Consider the following 17,061-nt stretch of genomic DNA (forward strand, 5'->3'; position numbering starts at 1 on the left):
GCTTTCTTCAACTATCTGGTGGTCCTTGGCTCTGTGGTCACATTTAGGAATGAGATTTAGTCTATCAATTGGTGGAGCTCACTTCATTCCGGGGGCCCTCGGGTCTTCATATCTGTAGGCGTTTCCCCCTGAGCTGGTTGTTTTCTTCAGAGAAGCCTCCAGACTTCTTCCTGTGGATATGAGCTTGACTGTGAGTTTGGGAGCTGGAGAAGGCTTAAGTCAGCATGGTGCAATTTAGTAATGTCCGTCACTCCTCTTCTGTGCCTGGTGCCTCTTAGTCTGGAGCTTCTTTTAAAAAAATTCCTCTGAGAATAAACTTTCTGTTGATTGCTGGGGTGGGTAAGAGGATGCGAGAGCCAGCTTTCCCTATATACACCTTCTCTTATGTAGGCTTCTCTCGAGTTCTAGAACTTTCTATGATTCTGTGATGTGAATTGGCTTGTTTCCTGTTGACTTCCTTTTTGGGGCACTAGTTTTTGGTCTTTGCATTTTTTTTTAAAACCACTGATCTCCATCAAGCCCATTGTTAAAAAATATATGGATTGTTTCATTGTCATTATTTCTTGAATTTTCTTGTCCTTGTGAAATTACTGCTTTTACAGTGTTCTTCTGCTGTCTGGTCAGCATTGGAAAAAGAGAATGGAGATGGGCATATGTATTCCCTTTCCTGTCGATGTATATCCGTGAACTTTGGGGTAACATTTCCACAAAAGTGTCTCCCCCTACAAAAAGGAAGTCTCATAGAGATTTTGGTTGGAGTTACATTCAACCCGTACATTATTTTAAGGGGAAAAAAGTCTTTCTCATGTCTAGTTTTCCCATCTGGGGACATAGATGTCTCTACATTCAGTTCAGAGCCCTCTTGTCAGCATCTGTTTTCTTTGTATTGGTTGTGCAGCTGATCAAGGGACAGTGGAGAGTGGAAAGACTTTGAAGAGGCTTTGAAGAAGGACAGAGGTTTCCAGCCTGCCTCTCCAAGAGCTATGTGGCATCTGACAATTTACTTAGTTGTCCAGACGTCATTTTCCTGAGGTCTGACCGAGGAAAATGGAATTTTTTATATATATTGTTGAAATGCTTTGTATAGTAAACATGGAGACAGTAACCCCACTTGTGGAGTTGTGAGAATCAGAAAGAGTTCATGTGAAGCATACAGGATTGAGATAATATTTACTATTTTATTAGAACAAGGCACTTCTAGGTACATGCCTGTGTATTTTATGCTTTTTGTTGATGAGATAAATGAGATGTTTACTTTTTGAAGATTGTAATTTTTTTTTTGGTAGTTGTTAGAAAAGCAATTTCTCTTTGGAGATGTAGCCTTAATCTTGTTACTCAAATTCCATGTCAGTTCTAATAGTATTTTAAAATTATTTCTTGGATTTGCAAATAATGAATGACTGCCTCCATTTTCTTAAGGTTCTATAAATGTGGTATTGATTTCCTCTATGGCAAAATACTTATTTACAATAGTCAACAATCTTTCCAAGTAGTAATGTGTTTACATGTCTGTGTCTAAAATTTTATTAATAATTTCTAACATTTCTGCATTGTGGTCCAGTGATGTGGTTTGTCAAATATATTGATATATTTGAGCATGTTCCATTTACAAGGAAGATGTACTTCCTGTTTAGTAGGTACAAGTTTGATATGTACTATTAATTTTTCCTTACTAGTTAAATATCAGAAGACCAATTTCATTCACTCATTCATTCACCTGCTTTATCTGTCAAAGACAAAATAAATTATGGTAAAATCTCCCCAGGTTAGTTGCTATTTGTCCCCTTTGCATTTCTAGGTCGTGAAAGTTTCCTCCATTCTCCAGTGAATTATATTCTCGTTGTAGTAATCAGTGGTTTTCACGAGCATTTGTATTGTTCTTCTTTACACCTTAGGTGTATTTGTTTGTGGGGGTAAATAGTGTATATTAGGAAACATTAGTATGCATTTGAAATGAAATTTTTGCCCCTAGCATCCTAAAGAGGAAATTTCAAGAAAGCCCTGTATTCCAGCACAGGAAGCAGGAATGTCTTAAGCCACACTGCGCTGTTTCTGCTGGAGACATCTCCCTGCTCTCAAACCTTCCTTCACTGGTAGGTTCTAAGATGCATTTTTGCAGAGTGATGTTTCTTCCATAGTGAAATAGGTATAATTTTCTGGAAAGGTTAGGCATTATCTTTTTGTTTTATTTTTAAAATTATGTAACATTTGATATGTACAGAGAACATATGTAAACTTAGAACTGGAACATTACTGAGACTGCTTCATCTACCCAGGTGCTCCTCCCCAATCTTGAACTTTGTATTTAGTGTAACCTTCTGTGAGGGGTACAGACTACAACGCAAGGCTGCAGCTCAGGTGACTTAGGGAGCCTGCCTTTTGCTTTCAAGTCATGGAGTAAATTCATGCACCTCCTGAGGAACATCCTCAAGTGGCTGGCTAACTTGTAGCACGACTTTCAAAATAACAAACTTTGTGCTTTGCTCTACCAAGTGAGACCACATATAGGAAAGTTCTTGGAAATTATGAAATTGTACACACATGTAAATGTCCTTATGAAGACACAATATGCTGCTATTAAATTTAACAACTTTCTAAAATGTCCTCAAAGAAATACAATTCTTAAAAATAAACAATAAACAGAGAATATACCAAGAGGGCTAGAATACATGGCAACTGGAAGTTGGAGGGGAAAAAAGGAGACTTTGGGGACAAAAAAGGTTCATAACTCTTCAAAGATATTTTTTGGTTAAAATCCAAGATGAAAATAGGAAGAACAAGTAAACAAAGGAAAACAAATTCATCTTATAAGGAAATTGAGTTTACTAAAAATTATTATAAAGTCTTTACAGAAATTTGTATTTTACTTTGGCAAAAGAATTTTATATATATGTATTATTGAAATGCTTTGTATAGTGAACACAGGGAGGTTGATTTAAAACAGGCTATTTGATAAATTTGCTGAGTGTGTACCTCTCTACTCAGTTTGTATTACCGTTTTGACTTTTCTCTGCAGCAATTGTCTCTAAGATAATAAAACCTGGCGAGCATTTATCATGGGATACAATGGACACTGATTTTATGAAATTGACTTCAGAGAAACCCTTGTGCTCACAGGCATGCTGAGCTCAGAGAGGTCCTGCCACCTTCCCAGGTCCAGTACAACAATCTTACAGGTGTAACAGCAGATTCGTGAATGAACACAAAAGGCCTGTGCTCACAAAGGTCTTTTGTTCATGGACAGAACCACTTAGACTGGCAACAGTCTACATTTCACTAGTGTCTTTCTTTGTTCGTTTAAAACAGTAAATCCAGAATGAGTCCAGTGACAGTAATAAAGGAAGAAAATTAGCACTGCAGTTAAATAGTTAAGAACACTTAACTGGGGGAAATAAATTCTACCAATTCTAAACTGTGATGAAAGATCAATAATTGGAAGTTTTTTAAAAATGACTTTTTAATAAAATTATAAAAGGAAAACAAGACAAATATCTTGTACATGAAAGACTACCATATAAAGAAAAACTTATTCTTTACAATACTTTAAGATTTTGGTGTGCATTAAGTGTTCGTCAGCTTCATACTCGCAGAGTCTCTGAGGTATCTGGGACAGAGCAGGCCCCCAGTAGGTGTTCACTGAATTAAGTGAATGAATTATGGGGTGTGCCCAAGCCAGTCTTTCTTCTCTCACTTTTCTTAATGGTCATTATTAATCAATGGTATTTCTCTTATCTTAGTACCTCTGGAAAGATCAAACTAGTGAGTAAATGTAGAATTAATATGAATTTTGCCACACATAATGAAATAAAATTAATATTTCAGCGATAACACAACTGCAACCTCAAAATGATGTGTATCTATTTCTATGTTTGGCTTGATTCGTGTCAGAAAAGATAACCTGAGATAGTAGGCTGTCATTAGTGAGTAAATGAATTAACAAGTGCTAATTAATAATTTCATGATTCATTCCCAAAACCTTTTTGTGCCAGTCCTTAATATTGTACCAGATGTTTCTGGTTCTCCATCTTCCAGGCATGTGGTAGCCCTGTTCACCTTAGGCGTGGTCATGTGATCTGCACTGGCCAGTGGAATAAGTGGAAGTGATGTGTGTTACCTCTAGGTTGAAGTTTATGAGGCCATTCACCACATTATCTTCCCACACCAAAGTGATCAGGAAAGCATGGGTCAAGCTGAAGCTTCCATCAGCATGAGTTTCTTATAAGCAGGCCTTCCCTACCCACCCAGATTAGACATGTAGTGTGAATGAGAAAAGAAAGTTTTATCAGATTAAGTCAATGAGATTTGAGGGGCTATTTGTTACCACAGCATAATTTAGCCTGTCCTGACTGACACATGTTCATTCGCAAACCTGGGCTTTGTGCTAGGCATAGTGGAAGTCAATACTAATAAAATATGCATCTTTATTTCAAAGGAATTTACATTCAATAGGAGAGGCATGCGTATAAAAAAGTACCACTCAGACTATAAGCCCAAAATCAAACATTTATGGGACACATTAAACATTGTGGGAAGTGTTGCTTCAGGTATAATGGCTTGAATTAATCTTTAGGAAACTCCAGAGTTTTCATAGTTGAAAATGAATTCTTTCCAGTAGATTCTATCAAACATCCAAAAAAATGTTATCAGTAGATTCATTCCTCTGGCTGCATTATTCAAGACCAAAGTATAAAAAAAAAGTTTTTACATTTGATATATTAAATCATTTCTGAGTAGACTATTAAAATAATAATTTTGACTGTAATATTCAGATACTTACATGAAAACCATTGCTGTACTCATAGAATAATAAATTACTGTGTGAAATTATGCAGTGAATTGTGCTGTCACAGGGTTTACATTTATAAGGATAAAATTGATATATTCTTTTCTTTCTTTTTTTGAGACAGGGTCTCACTATGTCACTCAACCTGGAGTGCAGTGGTGCAGTCTCAGCTCACTGCAACCTCTGTTTCCCAGGCTTAAGAGATCTTCCCACCTTAGCCTACTGAGTAGCTGGTACTATAGGCACATGCCACCAAACCTGGCTAATTTTTCTATTTTTTGTAGTGATGGGGTTTCGCCGCATTGCCCAGGCCGGTCTTAATCTCCTGAGCTCAAGCGGTGCACCTGTCTTGGCCTCCCAAAGTGCTGGGACTATAGGCATGAGCCACCGTGCCCAGCCAATACATTATTTTCAAAATCATATTTCCTCACATCCACAGAAATGTAGAGCACAGATTTTGGCCTTAGACAGCTCTGGTCTGAGTCCTTGCTCCCCTAAGATGAAGAGTGAAGATGTAGTCTAGTACAGATAACTCATGTATCTTAGCTTTAATTTCCTTATCAATACAGTGAAGTATAATATAAGGCTTTTAAGCTTCTTGTGAGTATTGATTGAGATAATTCAGGAAGCACTTTGTGCAGTGTTTTATTTGGAGTAGTCACTGAAGAAATGTTTACTAAATAGTACTATTACTTACTACATTTTCTCTTCTTACAACCACATTGCTTCCAAAAACTTGTCAAGGTAAAAGGCAATACAGGTTGACCAATATGGGTGGTTATTATACATAAACCATAAAAATTAAGATATTGGGGAAACACACCAGTTTTCCAATTTTCTTTGAGATTCTTATATTCATGATTTTGCTTAAGGGAATGCATTAAATTTGTTTCTTGCATGTTTATTGTAGAACTTTTAGAAAACATAGATAAGCAAAAAGGATCAAGTAATAAGAACTTACCCATTATCTCAAGATCTGGACATAACTACTGTTAATACTTTGGCATATATCCTACAAGCATTTTTTCATGCATATCTGTGGGTGCATACAAAATATGTATGATATATATTTCTGAATGAAAAAGGAGCTGGGTACCGCTTTTTAAAAACTGGATATTTCATGAACACCTTTCATGTGGATATTCTCCTGCACAATCCTTTACAATGAGGGCATGTGCCACACATCTCCCATCTACCCCTCCAATCCCATCCCCTCCCCCTTTCCATCTTGCCTGCTCCATCAGGCAGTCATTCCCACCCAGCTACCTCTCCCTGGGTTCCAGTTACCATCCCCTTGAGACAATGGTAACTGCACCATGCTCGTGGTTTACTTTCTTTTTGTGAATAGTTCAAAATACTTTAAAAAACCAATTCAAGTGTCTCATCTAGTTCCTCCTAGGACCCTGACTTATGCACCAAGAGAGAGGTTCTCAAACTATACTGTGCATCAGAATCACACAGAAGGTTTGTTAAAATACAGATTGCTGGGCATCACTCTCCAGAGGTTCTGATTGAGTAGGTGGGAAAGGGCCAGATAATTTGCATTTTTAACAAGTTCCCAGATGGTGCTGGAGCTGCTGGTCTAGGGACCACAGCCTGAGAACTGCTGCAGTAAACATTCACGCCATTGCATGAATCTGACAGTTTATTTATTTATTTATTTATTTATTTATTTTAAAGAGGAATTTTTTATTTTTCAATTTTTTTACCTTTGTTCATTTTCTTTTTTTTTATTATTATACTTTAAGTTCTAGGGTACATGTGCACAATGTGCAGGTTTGATATATATGTATACATGTGCCATGTTGGTTTGCTGCACCCATCAACTCATCACTTACCTTAGGTATTTCTCCTAATGCTATCCTTCCCCCAGCCCCCAACCCCCCGACAGGCCCCTGTGTGTGATGTTCCCCACCCTGTGTCCAAGTGATCTCATTGGAATCTGACAGTTTATTTAACCATTTATCTCATATGCAAATAACTCTGGCTTTTATATCCTTTTAGCTAAATCTTTATACATTGATATATTAGTTTCCTTAAAAAAAATTTCTAAAAAGTAGAACTTGGGCACAGGTATATGCACATTTTTAAAGTTTCTGAGATTGCCAAATTGTCCATCAGATAGTTTTTATGAATTTACAATTCTACTAACACATACAAAAAACATTTCCTTATATCTTTACAAATATATGAAAGCATTTCCTATTTCCTTGTATCTTTTTTTTTTTTTTTTTTTGAGATGGAATCTTGCTCTGTCGCCCAGGCTGGAGTGCAGTGGTGGCGATCTCTGCTCACTGCAAGCTCTGCTCCCAGGTTCATGCCTTTCTCCTGCCTCAGCCTCCCAAGTAGCTGGGACTACAGGTGCCCACCACCACGCCCGGCTAATTTTTTGTATTTTCAGTAAAGACAGATTTTCACCATGTTAGCCAGGATGGTCTCGATGTCCTGACCTCGTGATCTGCCCGCCTCGGCCTCTCAAAGTGCTGCGATTACAGGCGTGAGCCACCGCGCCCAGCTGTATCTTTACAAATATAGTACATACATTATTTTCTTGTTTATTAAAATCCTCACCAATTGATAAATGAGCAAATTAAACTATTGTTTCACTTCACATTATTTTGATAACTAGTGAGATTAAACAGTTTTGCAGATACTTTTGTCCCTTTGCACTTACTGATTTGTGGGTGGCATCTTCGTGATCTTTGCCCATTTTTCTATGGGTCTGTTTGTCATTTGTTTTATAATTTAAGATATCCTTTATATGTAAAGAATTGCCTTTTATACATATTTTCAATATTTCCCCCCAATTTGTTGTTTGCCTTTGGATTTTTGTTAATTTTTTTTATGCAAATACTTTTTTTCATTCTTTGGTCAGAGCTCTCAATGCTTCACTTGTGTTGTTGTGGTTTAGTCTTGCGGTTAGAAAAATGAGAGCTGCCTTCACCTCCACTTGGATTTTCTAATACTTTTATGGTTTTCTTTCTTTTTACATTTCAATGCTTTGACTTTATTTTGATAAAAGAGAGATATAATGTTTTCCCTCCATAAATGTCCTAGAGGCACGCGTTGAGTAATTCATCCATTCTCCCTTGGTTTGGAAATGTCACTTTTATTCATCGCAAAGTCTTCAACGTATCAGTGTTTGTTTTTGGAGTTTCTTTCGTTCCATTGATCTGTGGTTCTGGTCCAGAACCACACTGTTAATTATTGTCATTTACTATACTTTTAATTCATCTCATTAATTTTCTTTTTTTCAAAATTTCTTTAGCAATTATGATGGCTTACAAATAAATAAAATGTTATTTCTCCTATTTCTTTCACAAAGGCCAATAAAATTGTATCAAATTTCACCTCAGGGACAAGCTCTTTTGTTCATGAGTTTCAGCACTTCTACTGTTCCCGCCCGCTGTGCTGTGCCTTTTACAGTTGTCGTATTTATTTATTTACTTACTTATTTTTACCTTATTCAATTTACTTTCCTTATTTAAATTTTATAACATCTCTCCATTTCTACAGGTTTTTTTTTTCTCCTTCTAAACCATCAGCTTTCTTGAAGGGATGTTGGCCCTGGGTGTGTGAGTCCCCTGGGTCCTGTGGAGTAAAGCGGGGCTGGGACCTTTGAAAACTCAGAGTCCAGGGAGTGGTGACACACAGGTGGAACTGTGTGTCATGACTGATTGGGAATGAAGGATGACAAAAGAATCTGAATTAGTGTCACTTTTTCAAGAGGCCTCCCTTTTGCAGTTGCCCATTGGTTTCTATGACATGGTTTTTGAGATTGCTTTGGGTTTTTTTTAATGCTATTGGTACAATTATTTTTCATTATGTTGGTTAATGGTATTCCTATTGGTAATGTTTTAGATTCAGTCTGAGAATGAGAAGAGCTGGTGGAGGGAAGTTAGAGATCCCATAGCAACCTCTCTGAAGTGTGGCCTTGTCCTGAGAGCAGAGGGCTCCTAAGCCTCTAGATCCCTTGTGTAATTACAGTGCTTGGTGCACAGCACAGCCCTAGGCAGTATCTGTTGAGTAAATGAATGTAAGGATTGTGTACAGTTCTTAAATCAGAAACAGCACCAGTAGTGCATGGTACAGTGAGACACATTTTCTCTGGCTCTGACTGAGAAAGATATTTCAAATATCGCTTTCAGATAATGCAGCCTTGTGAGATAGTGAACTCTCCATTCCTGGAAGTATTCAAGCTAAGGTTGGAGAGGTGATGACGGTTTCCATTATTTTGGAGGGTGAACTTCCAAGGTCTCTGTATCACTAAGGTGATTCTGTTACTCCTGGCTAATTAAGCTTATGTTTTAGATTTTTCCTTTTCCTTTTTCTCCAGTCCCTAATTCCCATATACACTTCTCTGCAAAGTGTCTTCATTGTGGTGTCACTTGTGTGTATCTGTGTCCTCTGTGCTATAACTGCAATGTGACCCGTTTCCCATGAATGTCCTGGGGTGGTGCTTGAGCTTTTCATGGGCTTGCGCCTTTCACCGCCCACTATTGAACATGCAGATGTGATGGTGGCATCTGTCACTTGCTCTGTGATCACTCTTCTCTCATAACTGGTGGAAGGAAAAAAATGATTTCACGTTAATGAACACCATAAACAATTGGATATCCACTTTAGTGAACATCAAGATCTATCCATTAGTGTGTCTTATCACTCTCAGCTACTTTTTTTCGTTTCCTTGTGTTTTGTAAGGAATTGAAAAAGAAAGCAAGATGATATTTAGAACTTACTTGTTAGTGGATCAGTTTCCTTGGGCTGCCGTAACAAATTACGACAAACTTGTGGCTTAAAACAATAGAAATGTATTCTCTCAAAGTTCTAGAGGCCAGAAGTCTGAGATCCAGGCATTGGCAGGGCTGTACTCCCTCACAAGGCTCCAGAGCCCAATCAGTGCCTTTCCTCTCCTAGCTTCTGGGGGCTCCAGTTGTTTGGTGGCTATGACTGCATCACTCCAACCTCCATCTCCATGGTCTGCCTCCTCTTCTCTCTGTCTCTCCTCTGCGTGTCCCTCACAAGGACACTTGTCATTGGATTTAGGATCCACCTGAATAATCCAGGATGAACTTTTATCTCAAGATACTTGACTCAATTACATATGCACCCTTTTCCCAGATAAGGTCATATTCACAGTTGCCAGGCATTAGGACATGGACATATCTTTTGGAGGCCCACCATTCATCTTATTACAGGCAGTAAGCCAGGAGATTCCATAGGGAGAAAAACTGAGTAAGATCTCACTTGGAGATCCTGGGAATGCCTTTTAATACAGAGGTAGTGGTCCCTATAAACAAAGCTCCCATACTACTGTAATAATAACATTGTAATAATAGCAGCAGTAATTTATGGAGCACTTGTTCTGTGGGAGGCATTGTTCTAACTACCTTTACAAGCATCATCTGAGCTAATCTCTCAACAACTCTATAAAGAGGCAACTATTGTTACTGTTGTTTTACAGATGAAGAACATGAGTCTTAGAGAAGTCAAAGAAGTTGCCTAAGGTCACATGAGCAGTGAGCAGAGGAGTTGCTTACCTTTGTTAGACTCCAAATCCTGTGTGACTATGAAACTCATTAACTGAAACAACCCGGCACCTTTGGACCTGTGCAGGCAAAGGCAAGGGAGTTGACCAGGAGCACACAGCACAGACGAGAACAGTCCCAAAGCCTTTTGCTGTATCCCATCTGTGCAAACCACTCCCAATAAACAAACAAACACACACCAGGCTTCTTGAACAATTTCTCCCCGTTGCCAAGCTATTGGAAGAAAAGAACGCAAATCCGATCAGATTCATTACTAGTTTGAGGATTGCAAATACATTTCACCTTGGGTTGGATTGCGAACCATATATGGAAAGGACACCATGTTGATCAGTGTGCATGCACACACACATACACACCCCCACTGTGTGCAGTGACAGAAGTGCTCATTGTGTGCCAAACACCACCCTTGTTCTGTCCGGGGGGAGGTGCTGCGAAGACTGGGGAGATGGAGGCAGGCTCTGCTTCTGGCTGGATTCCTCAACCCACCTCCCTAGGCTCCCTGACCTTCCATTTGAAGGTCCAGGCCAAGTCGCAGACCATATGCCAGTTATCCAGGGAGCTTGCTACAAGTCACCCTCATGCTCCTGGTCTTCCATTCCCAGCCGTCAGCCAGAACCCAGATTCAGTGACCAGTTATGACCCCTGGGAAAGAGTTGCCCCAGGTTCGATCAACTAAGCTCCCCCAAATGGCTCTGCTTTAATTCTTCCTAATCTTGTTCATTCCCTCCTTGCCTGCTACATGTGGCTGCCAGGAACCCTCACATCTTGGGTCTAACCACTGAGAAATGGTGGAGATGTTTGGATTTGATGGAAGGATTTGGACAAGCAAAGATGAGGGTATTGCAGGTGACTCGAACAGTTGAGTACAACTGTAAAGAAGGAAGTCATTGTCCTGTTCTGGCAAGAGCAAGTAATTTATTTAGTATTTCTAGAATCTCAGTCTAAGAGAAAAAACTGGGCCTTGGGTGACAGGAGGTGGGCAGGAGTTCATCCTGCCCTGGCTGGCAGATTTCACACAGGGAGAAGAGCCAGGGCAGGCAGCGAAGAGAGCGGTTGGAGGCCCAGGCTTGGGTGGAGGTAGTGGGAATGAAAGGGAGCCAATACATGGGGGAAGTCAAAGAGCAGCTAAGGACCAGGCTGGGGAGAGGAATGGCCAAAGAGAAGTCAGAGTTGGCCCGAGTCATCTGGTCTGCATGGGCTGGAGACAGGGAGGCAGCAGAGAAGGCAGGAGGAGGAAGGGCTCAGCCATTGGCACTTAATAGTTATTATTTTTATGATTTATTTATGCCTCAATTACTTTCAAAAAATTAAAGCAGCTAATAAAAAGTGCATGACCAATAAAATGTTAGCACATATTGAAACAGTGTTTTGCATAAGTTGAGTTGAAGGTGCCAGTGGGGCCTCCTGGGGGAAGATTCAGCAACATTGGGAAATCAAGAAGGCACCAGGGTGTCCTCTGGATCGAGCCTTGAGTGGAGGGGGCTGCTCGGCATCTGTGCTGTGTGCCCAGACTCCCCTCAGTGCACCCCTCCTGTGCTCCCCATGGGAAGACACACCCCTCCCTCCTTCCTTTATCAGGCCTCCTGAGGGTCAGGCCCCTGCAGGGCCAGCAGCCATGGCACAGTCCTTGGTGCATAGTGGGTGTGTTTCAGGGCCACTGGACTGGACTTTCCTTTTGGTGTGGAGGGAGGGAGAAGCAATGGAGAAAGAGGCGAGGACAGAGAGCGCCACATCCTGGGGTCAGATCTCCAGGACTGATGGTGCATGTGAGGCAAGTGCAGACTCTTCCAGAATTAGAAAGGAGATGCCGAGCATGCAGCCGCGCTTCCATGGTGTATGATTCAGAATATTTGTCCTGCACTCTGCAGGTCATCATAACACAAGCTCATTCATCAGCGAGTGTCTTAAGAGTGAAGAGTCATGGCTGAAAGCAGAAGGATGAATCAGTGGTTTCTAAAGGTTCCTCTCTCTCTGAGTCAGGGAATGCCCCTTTGTCTATATTTGTAACTGCTCCCTTGTTTCAGAACATTTCCACTTTTGGAGAAATGCCATAAGTTAGTCTGGCTTGAAATTTGGTTTCAATAGTAAGGCCTTCTCAATCCCTAAATGATGAAAATAATAAAATAATGGAAATAAAAGGGATTTTAATTTTCCCTGGCATCTATTTCAAGTATTATTACAGTGCACTGATTGTTTGTAATGTTTATTGAAATGTGTCAATTTCCCTTTTTCTTTTCCTCTGTTTTCACTTTTGTGTCCAGAGTTGGAGATTTCCAGAACACATTGGCAGCCATGTGCATACAATTTCCAACTTTAGAACACTGTGTATGAATTATGTTACATATCATGAGGTTAGAAAATAATGCAAAGGACACTGGGCTTTTGGCGGGGGGGGGTGTTTGTGTGTGTGCACACAGGTATGTGTGTGTGTTTGAATACAACAGCCTCTAATGACATCAAAGGTCATTAATAACAATTCAATCAATTATCCGTGAAGGTGTAAGATGCTTACTCTGTGGAGTTTAGATAGATTTGAGAACATAAGAGTGATTTTATTTTTGCTTTTTGTGCATTTGAAAAGGACACAACTCTCCTATGCAGAGTTTTTGGTTTCTGGTTGTATGATGCTTTTTATCCATACATAGGCGTTGTGAGCCCACTCTAATCACTTAGATTTTTTTTTAGTAATAGTTTCCTTACAATCAATCATGCCAGCAGTTGTGAAAATATGCTATAAGCTTTATATTAAGACAAATAAAGTTGAGATGCTGTGTCTCCAGCAGAAATAACTTCCTTTCTATTTCTTATTTCAATCAGTCATGCCAGAGATATAAAACCATGCCATCAGCCATTTGCATGTGTTGAGATTCTGAGTCCCAATGCAGATTTAAAAGAGGACTTTCCCTCTAACTCCTTGCCTATTAATATACTCATTCACTCATTCAATTATTCAACCAGTGTCTATGAGCTCCTGCCGTGGTTCAAGCACAGCTGGAGTGGCTAGGTCACAAAGATGAATTGGACATGGTTAAAAGTCTTCCTTCCTCTCTGGTGAAGGGATTTTTGTTTGTTTGTGTTTTTGGTTTTTTTTGAGACAGAGTTTCACTCTTTCGCCCAGGCTGGAGTGAAGTGGTGCTATCTCAGCTCACTGCAACCTCTGCCTCCTGGGTTCAAGCAATTCTCTTGCCTCAGCCTCCCAAGTAGCTGGGATTACAGGCACCCACCACCACAGCCAGCTACTTTTGTATTTTTAGTAGAGATGGGGTTTTGCTATGTTGGCCAGGTTGGTCACGAACTCCTGACCTCAGGTGTGTTCCACCTGCCTTGGCCTCCCAAAGTGCTAAGATTATAGGCATGAGCCACTGTGCCTGGCCTGGTGAAGGAGATTGACTTTGAAATGGTGAGTGATAAGCTAGATGCCTACCCAAGCTATAATAGTATTAGGATCTAGAAGCAGCACCCAGGCCAGCTGCAGGGTGGAGATGGATGAGGGAAGGCTGACCCCTGAGCCAACTCTTATTATTACTGATATTTTAAGAAAAGATAGGGGTTAGTCACATTACAAGTAAAAGCTTTTCTTTACTAAAAAGATGTTTTGTTTATTTCACATTGTACAGTATACATTATCCTTCAGATTACATTTTATTGATGATTATAGATGATTCATAACTTGAGAGGAAGTATAATAGGAACCTTTGTCCACTAAAGAGTACTAAGACACTGAGGTGAATGCTGCAAACCATTCTGTTGGTCAGGTGGAAAGGGCCCATTTGAATTATTGATCTTAATTAATTACCAGCACAGGACTGAGGGTGGGGCCAGGGAGGGCAGCACAGGCCCAGGCCATGGCTGGTCATGGGTGATGACAGGTGCTCCTGGAGAGCTCAGCAACTGTGGCCGCATGTGGATGACCCCGTGTGCCAGGCCCCAGGGGACTTCACCTCTCAGGCTGTAGGCAGCCACTGAATGACGCAAGGCAGGCAAGAGGCATGACCAGAGTGGGATGTTTCCAAAAGACCCCTTTCTGATGAGATAGTGGATTCACTTCCCATTGCTATAACAACTTATCACAAACTTTATGGCCTAAAGCAACAGGAATTTATTCTCTCAGTTCTGGAAGCCAGAAGTCTCATATTAGGTATGAGAAGGGCCATGCTCCCTTCAAAGGCCCTAGAGGAGGATCCTCCCCTATCCTCTTCCAGCTCCTGGTGGTGCTTGACCTTTCTCGGTTTGTGGCCACATAACTCCAGCCCTTGCCTTCATCTCCACATGGCCTCCTTCCCCTATGTCTCTGTGTCTTCTCTTCTATTCGAGGAATACTAGTCATTGCACTTAGAGTCCACCCTAAATCTAGGGTGATTTTATCTCAAGATCCTTGCTTAATCACCTCTGCAAAGAGCCTCTTTCCAAATAAAGTCATATTCTGAAGTTCTAGAAGGGTGGATATGAATTTAAGGGATCCACTATTCAACAACTCCAGATGGAGGGAGGTTGGAAGAGGTTCGGAGGATGAGGTCTAGCAGGACATGGGAGGACATTACAGAGGAACCTACAAGAAGTGAAAGAGAATGCATAGGTGGCATGCTGGGGCAGGTTTCAAGAAATGTGTGTTCAGGAGGAATAAGGGAGGAAAGGGTAAAAAAGAAGGATGAGGGATTGTGGCGTAAAAGCCAAACCTTCACAAATTTGCTTTCCACCCATGTAGGTATCTTCTAGCATTAAGTTCTAGTTCAAGTACCACCCTCTCTCCTGTAATGGCTGACAAAAGTGTTACTAGGATCACCTCATTTAATTCTTAAACAGTACTATTATGATCACTCACACTCTAACACACACCCTGTTTTAAAGAGGAAACAAATTGAGGCTTGGAGAGGTTAGGTGGCTTGCTAGTAAATAAATGCTGGAGCTAGAATTTGAACCAGACAACCATACTGTAAGCCCAGCACTCCTGAATACTCACACATCACACATACCCCTCACCAACACCACACCACCAAGTAAAATTATTCCTCCCATCTCTAAATCCCCATAGCCCGTGGTGTACGCTTCCTTTCGGCATTTGTTCAATTACCAACTAGTTTATTTTTACAAGTAGATTTGTGTACGTGTCGTGAGGAGAGGGACTGGACATGTTTCACTTTTGCATGATGTCCCCAATATCTTGCACCTGCATTGCACAAAGATCATGTTTATGAGTGTTGAATCATGGGATGCTATCTTAATTCAGACCACAATTATATGTTCAGCCTGTGTGAGAGACAGAGAGAGAGAGACAAGGAAACATACAGCTATTATACAGTATGTGGTGTGCAGGGATACAGGTGAACACACAGAGACCTTGGGATGCATCTCATATGTATGTGCCAGCTGGGCATGGTGGCTCACGCTTGTAATCTCAACAATTTGGGAAGCTGAAGTGGGAGGACCCCTTGAGGCCAGGAGTTTGAGACCAACCTGGGCAACATACTGAGACCCTATCTTCTCAAAATTTTTTTTTAAATTAGCCAGGCATGATGGTGTGTGCCTGAGGTCCCAGCTACTCAGGAGACTGAGGTGGAGGGATCACTTGAGCCTAGGATTCTGAGGCTGCAGTAAGCTGTGATTGTACCACTACACTTCAGCCTGGGTGACACAGCAAAACCCTGTCTCCAAAATAATAATAAGAATAATAATAATAGTATGTATTAATCAATAGGGATAAGAGACACATACATAGACAGACACAAATCAGTGAAGGAGGTGAACAGGCAATTCACAGAGGAAGTAAAAGTCAATAAGTATACGCAAGGATACTCAGTTTCACCTGCAATTAGCACTATGCATGTTAAAACACTGACAAGATATGATTCTACTCCAACCAGATTGGTGAAATAAAACATTTAAGGGGGGCAGGAAATTTCTCATTGTTCACTATAGAAAGATATGCACCAAACTGATAATAAACTGAAATGGTGGCTTCTGAGAGCTTGGGTGAGGGGTGATTTCTTGGAGGACTTTACTTTTACCTGTAGTATTTAAATTGTTTTACCAGGAGAATATGTTCATGCATTACTTGTATATTTGAAATTAGTAGGGAAAGAAATCAAATGCTCTCCCTCAATTTACATTACTGGGTAATTACAAGGGATCATATGCTATTCATTGCTACTCCCATAGCTGAAAGAGGACCCTGCATTCCCAATTCTGTCATCTTTCCACTACATTTTGATGATAAGTTAGATGAGATCCGGAAGTTCAGGAAATACCTGTATGGAGGTGAAATGTAAAGCCTAGAGCTGTGTTTCCCAGGGGCTGGACACTTTATTGTCATGGGGGCTGACCTGCGCATGGCAGGGTGTGACACAGCATCCTGGCCTCTGCCCACCAGATGCCAGTAGCAACCCACCCCTCACCCTTTCTACTGTAAGGTGTAACAACCAAAAATGTCTCCAGACATTGACGGATACCCCTGGGAGATACACCCTTTTCCCCATTGAGAACCACTGGTGTCCAGAGAAAGCTCAGAAAAAGAACTTAAGCATCCCAACTCAGCCCAATTTCACTTCTATGAGAGTAAAAGTAATGGGCTTAATCATCATATGCTAGTACTTTGCTCTTGCCTAAAATGACCAGTGTTATAAACTCCTTAACAAAAAGTACATTATATTGCTTTTCTTATCTTTGTATCTTTTTTTCTTTTCTTTTTTTTTTTTTTTTTTGAGACGGAGTCTCGCTGTCGCCCAGGCTAGA

The 17,061-nt window shown here is 40.5% G+C and overlaps 1 protein-coding gene and 1 long non-coding RNA gene across 12 annotated transcripts in view, besides 1 other annotated feature; both read left to right on the forward strand.

The window, feature by feature from the left end:
* Positions 1 to 10,509, forward strand: part of HECW1-IT1 (HECW1 intronic transcript 1) — a 45,292-nt gene extending 34,783 nt beyond the window's left edge. Inside the window, exons 6-7 of the long non-coding RNA NR_135295.1 lie at positions 8,932 to 9,037; positions 10,248 to 10,509. This is a non-coding gene — a long non-coding RNA (HECW1 intronic transcript 1). The remainder of the gene's footprint in view (positions 1 to 8,931; positions 9,038 to 10,247) is intronic.
* HECW1 (HECT, C2 and WW domain containing E3 ubiquitin protein ligase 1) overlaps positions 1 to 17,061 on the forward strand; it is a 453,355-nt gene that overhangs the window by 40,032 nt on the left and 396,262 nt on the right. The gene's annotated exons all lie outside the window — the stretch shown is intronic.
* Positions 11,891 to 11,950: an enhancer, noted in NCBI's record as "active region_25908". NCBI's record gives its function as "activates an Ori minimal core promoter by ATAC-STARR-seq in GM12878 lymphoblastoid cells {active_cell/tissue: GM12878}" and the evidence as "EXISTENCE:reporter gene assay evidence [ECO:0000049][PMID:35858748]".

This window comes from Homo sapiens, chromosome 7, assembly GCF_000001405.40.
Source record: "Homo sapiens chromosome 7, GRCh38.p14 Primary Assembly".
Classification (NCBI taxonomy): Eukaryota; Metazoa; Chordata; class Mammalia; order Primates; family Hominidae; genus Homo; species Homo sapiens.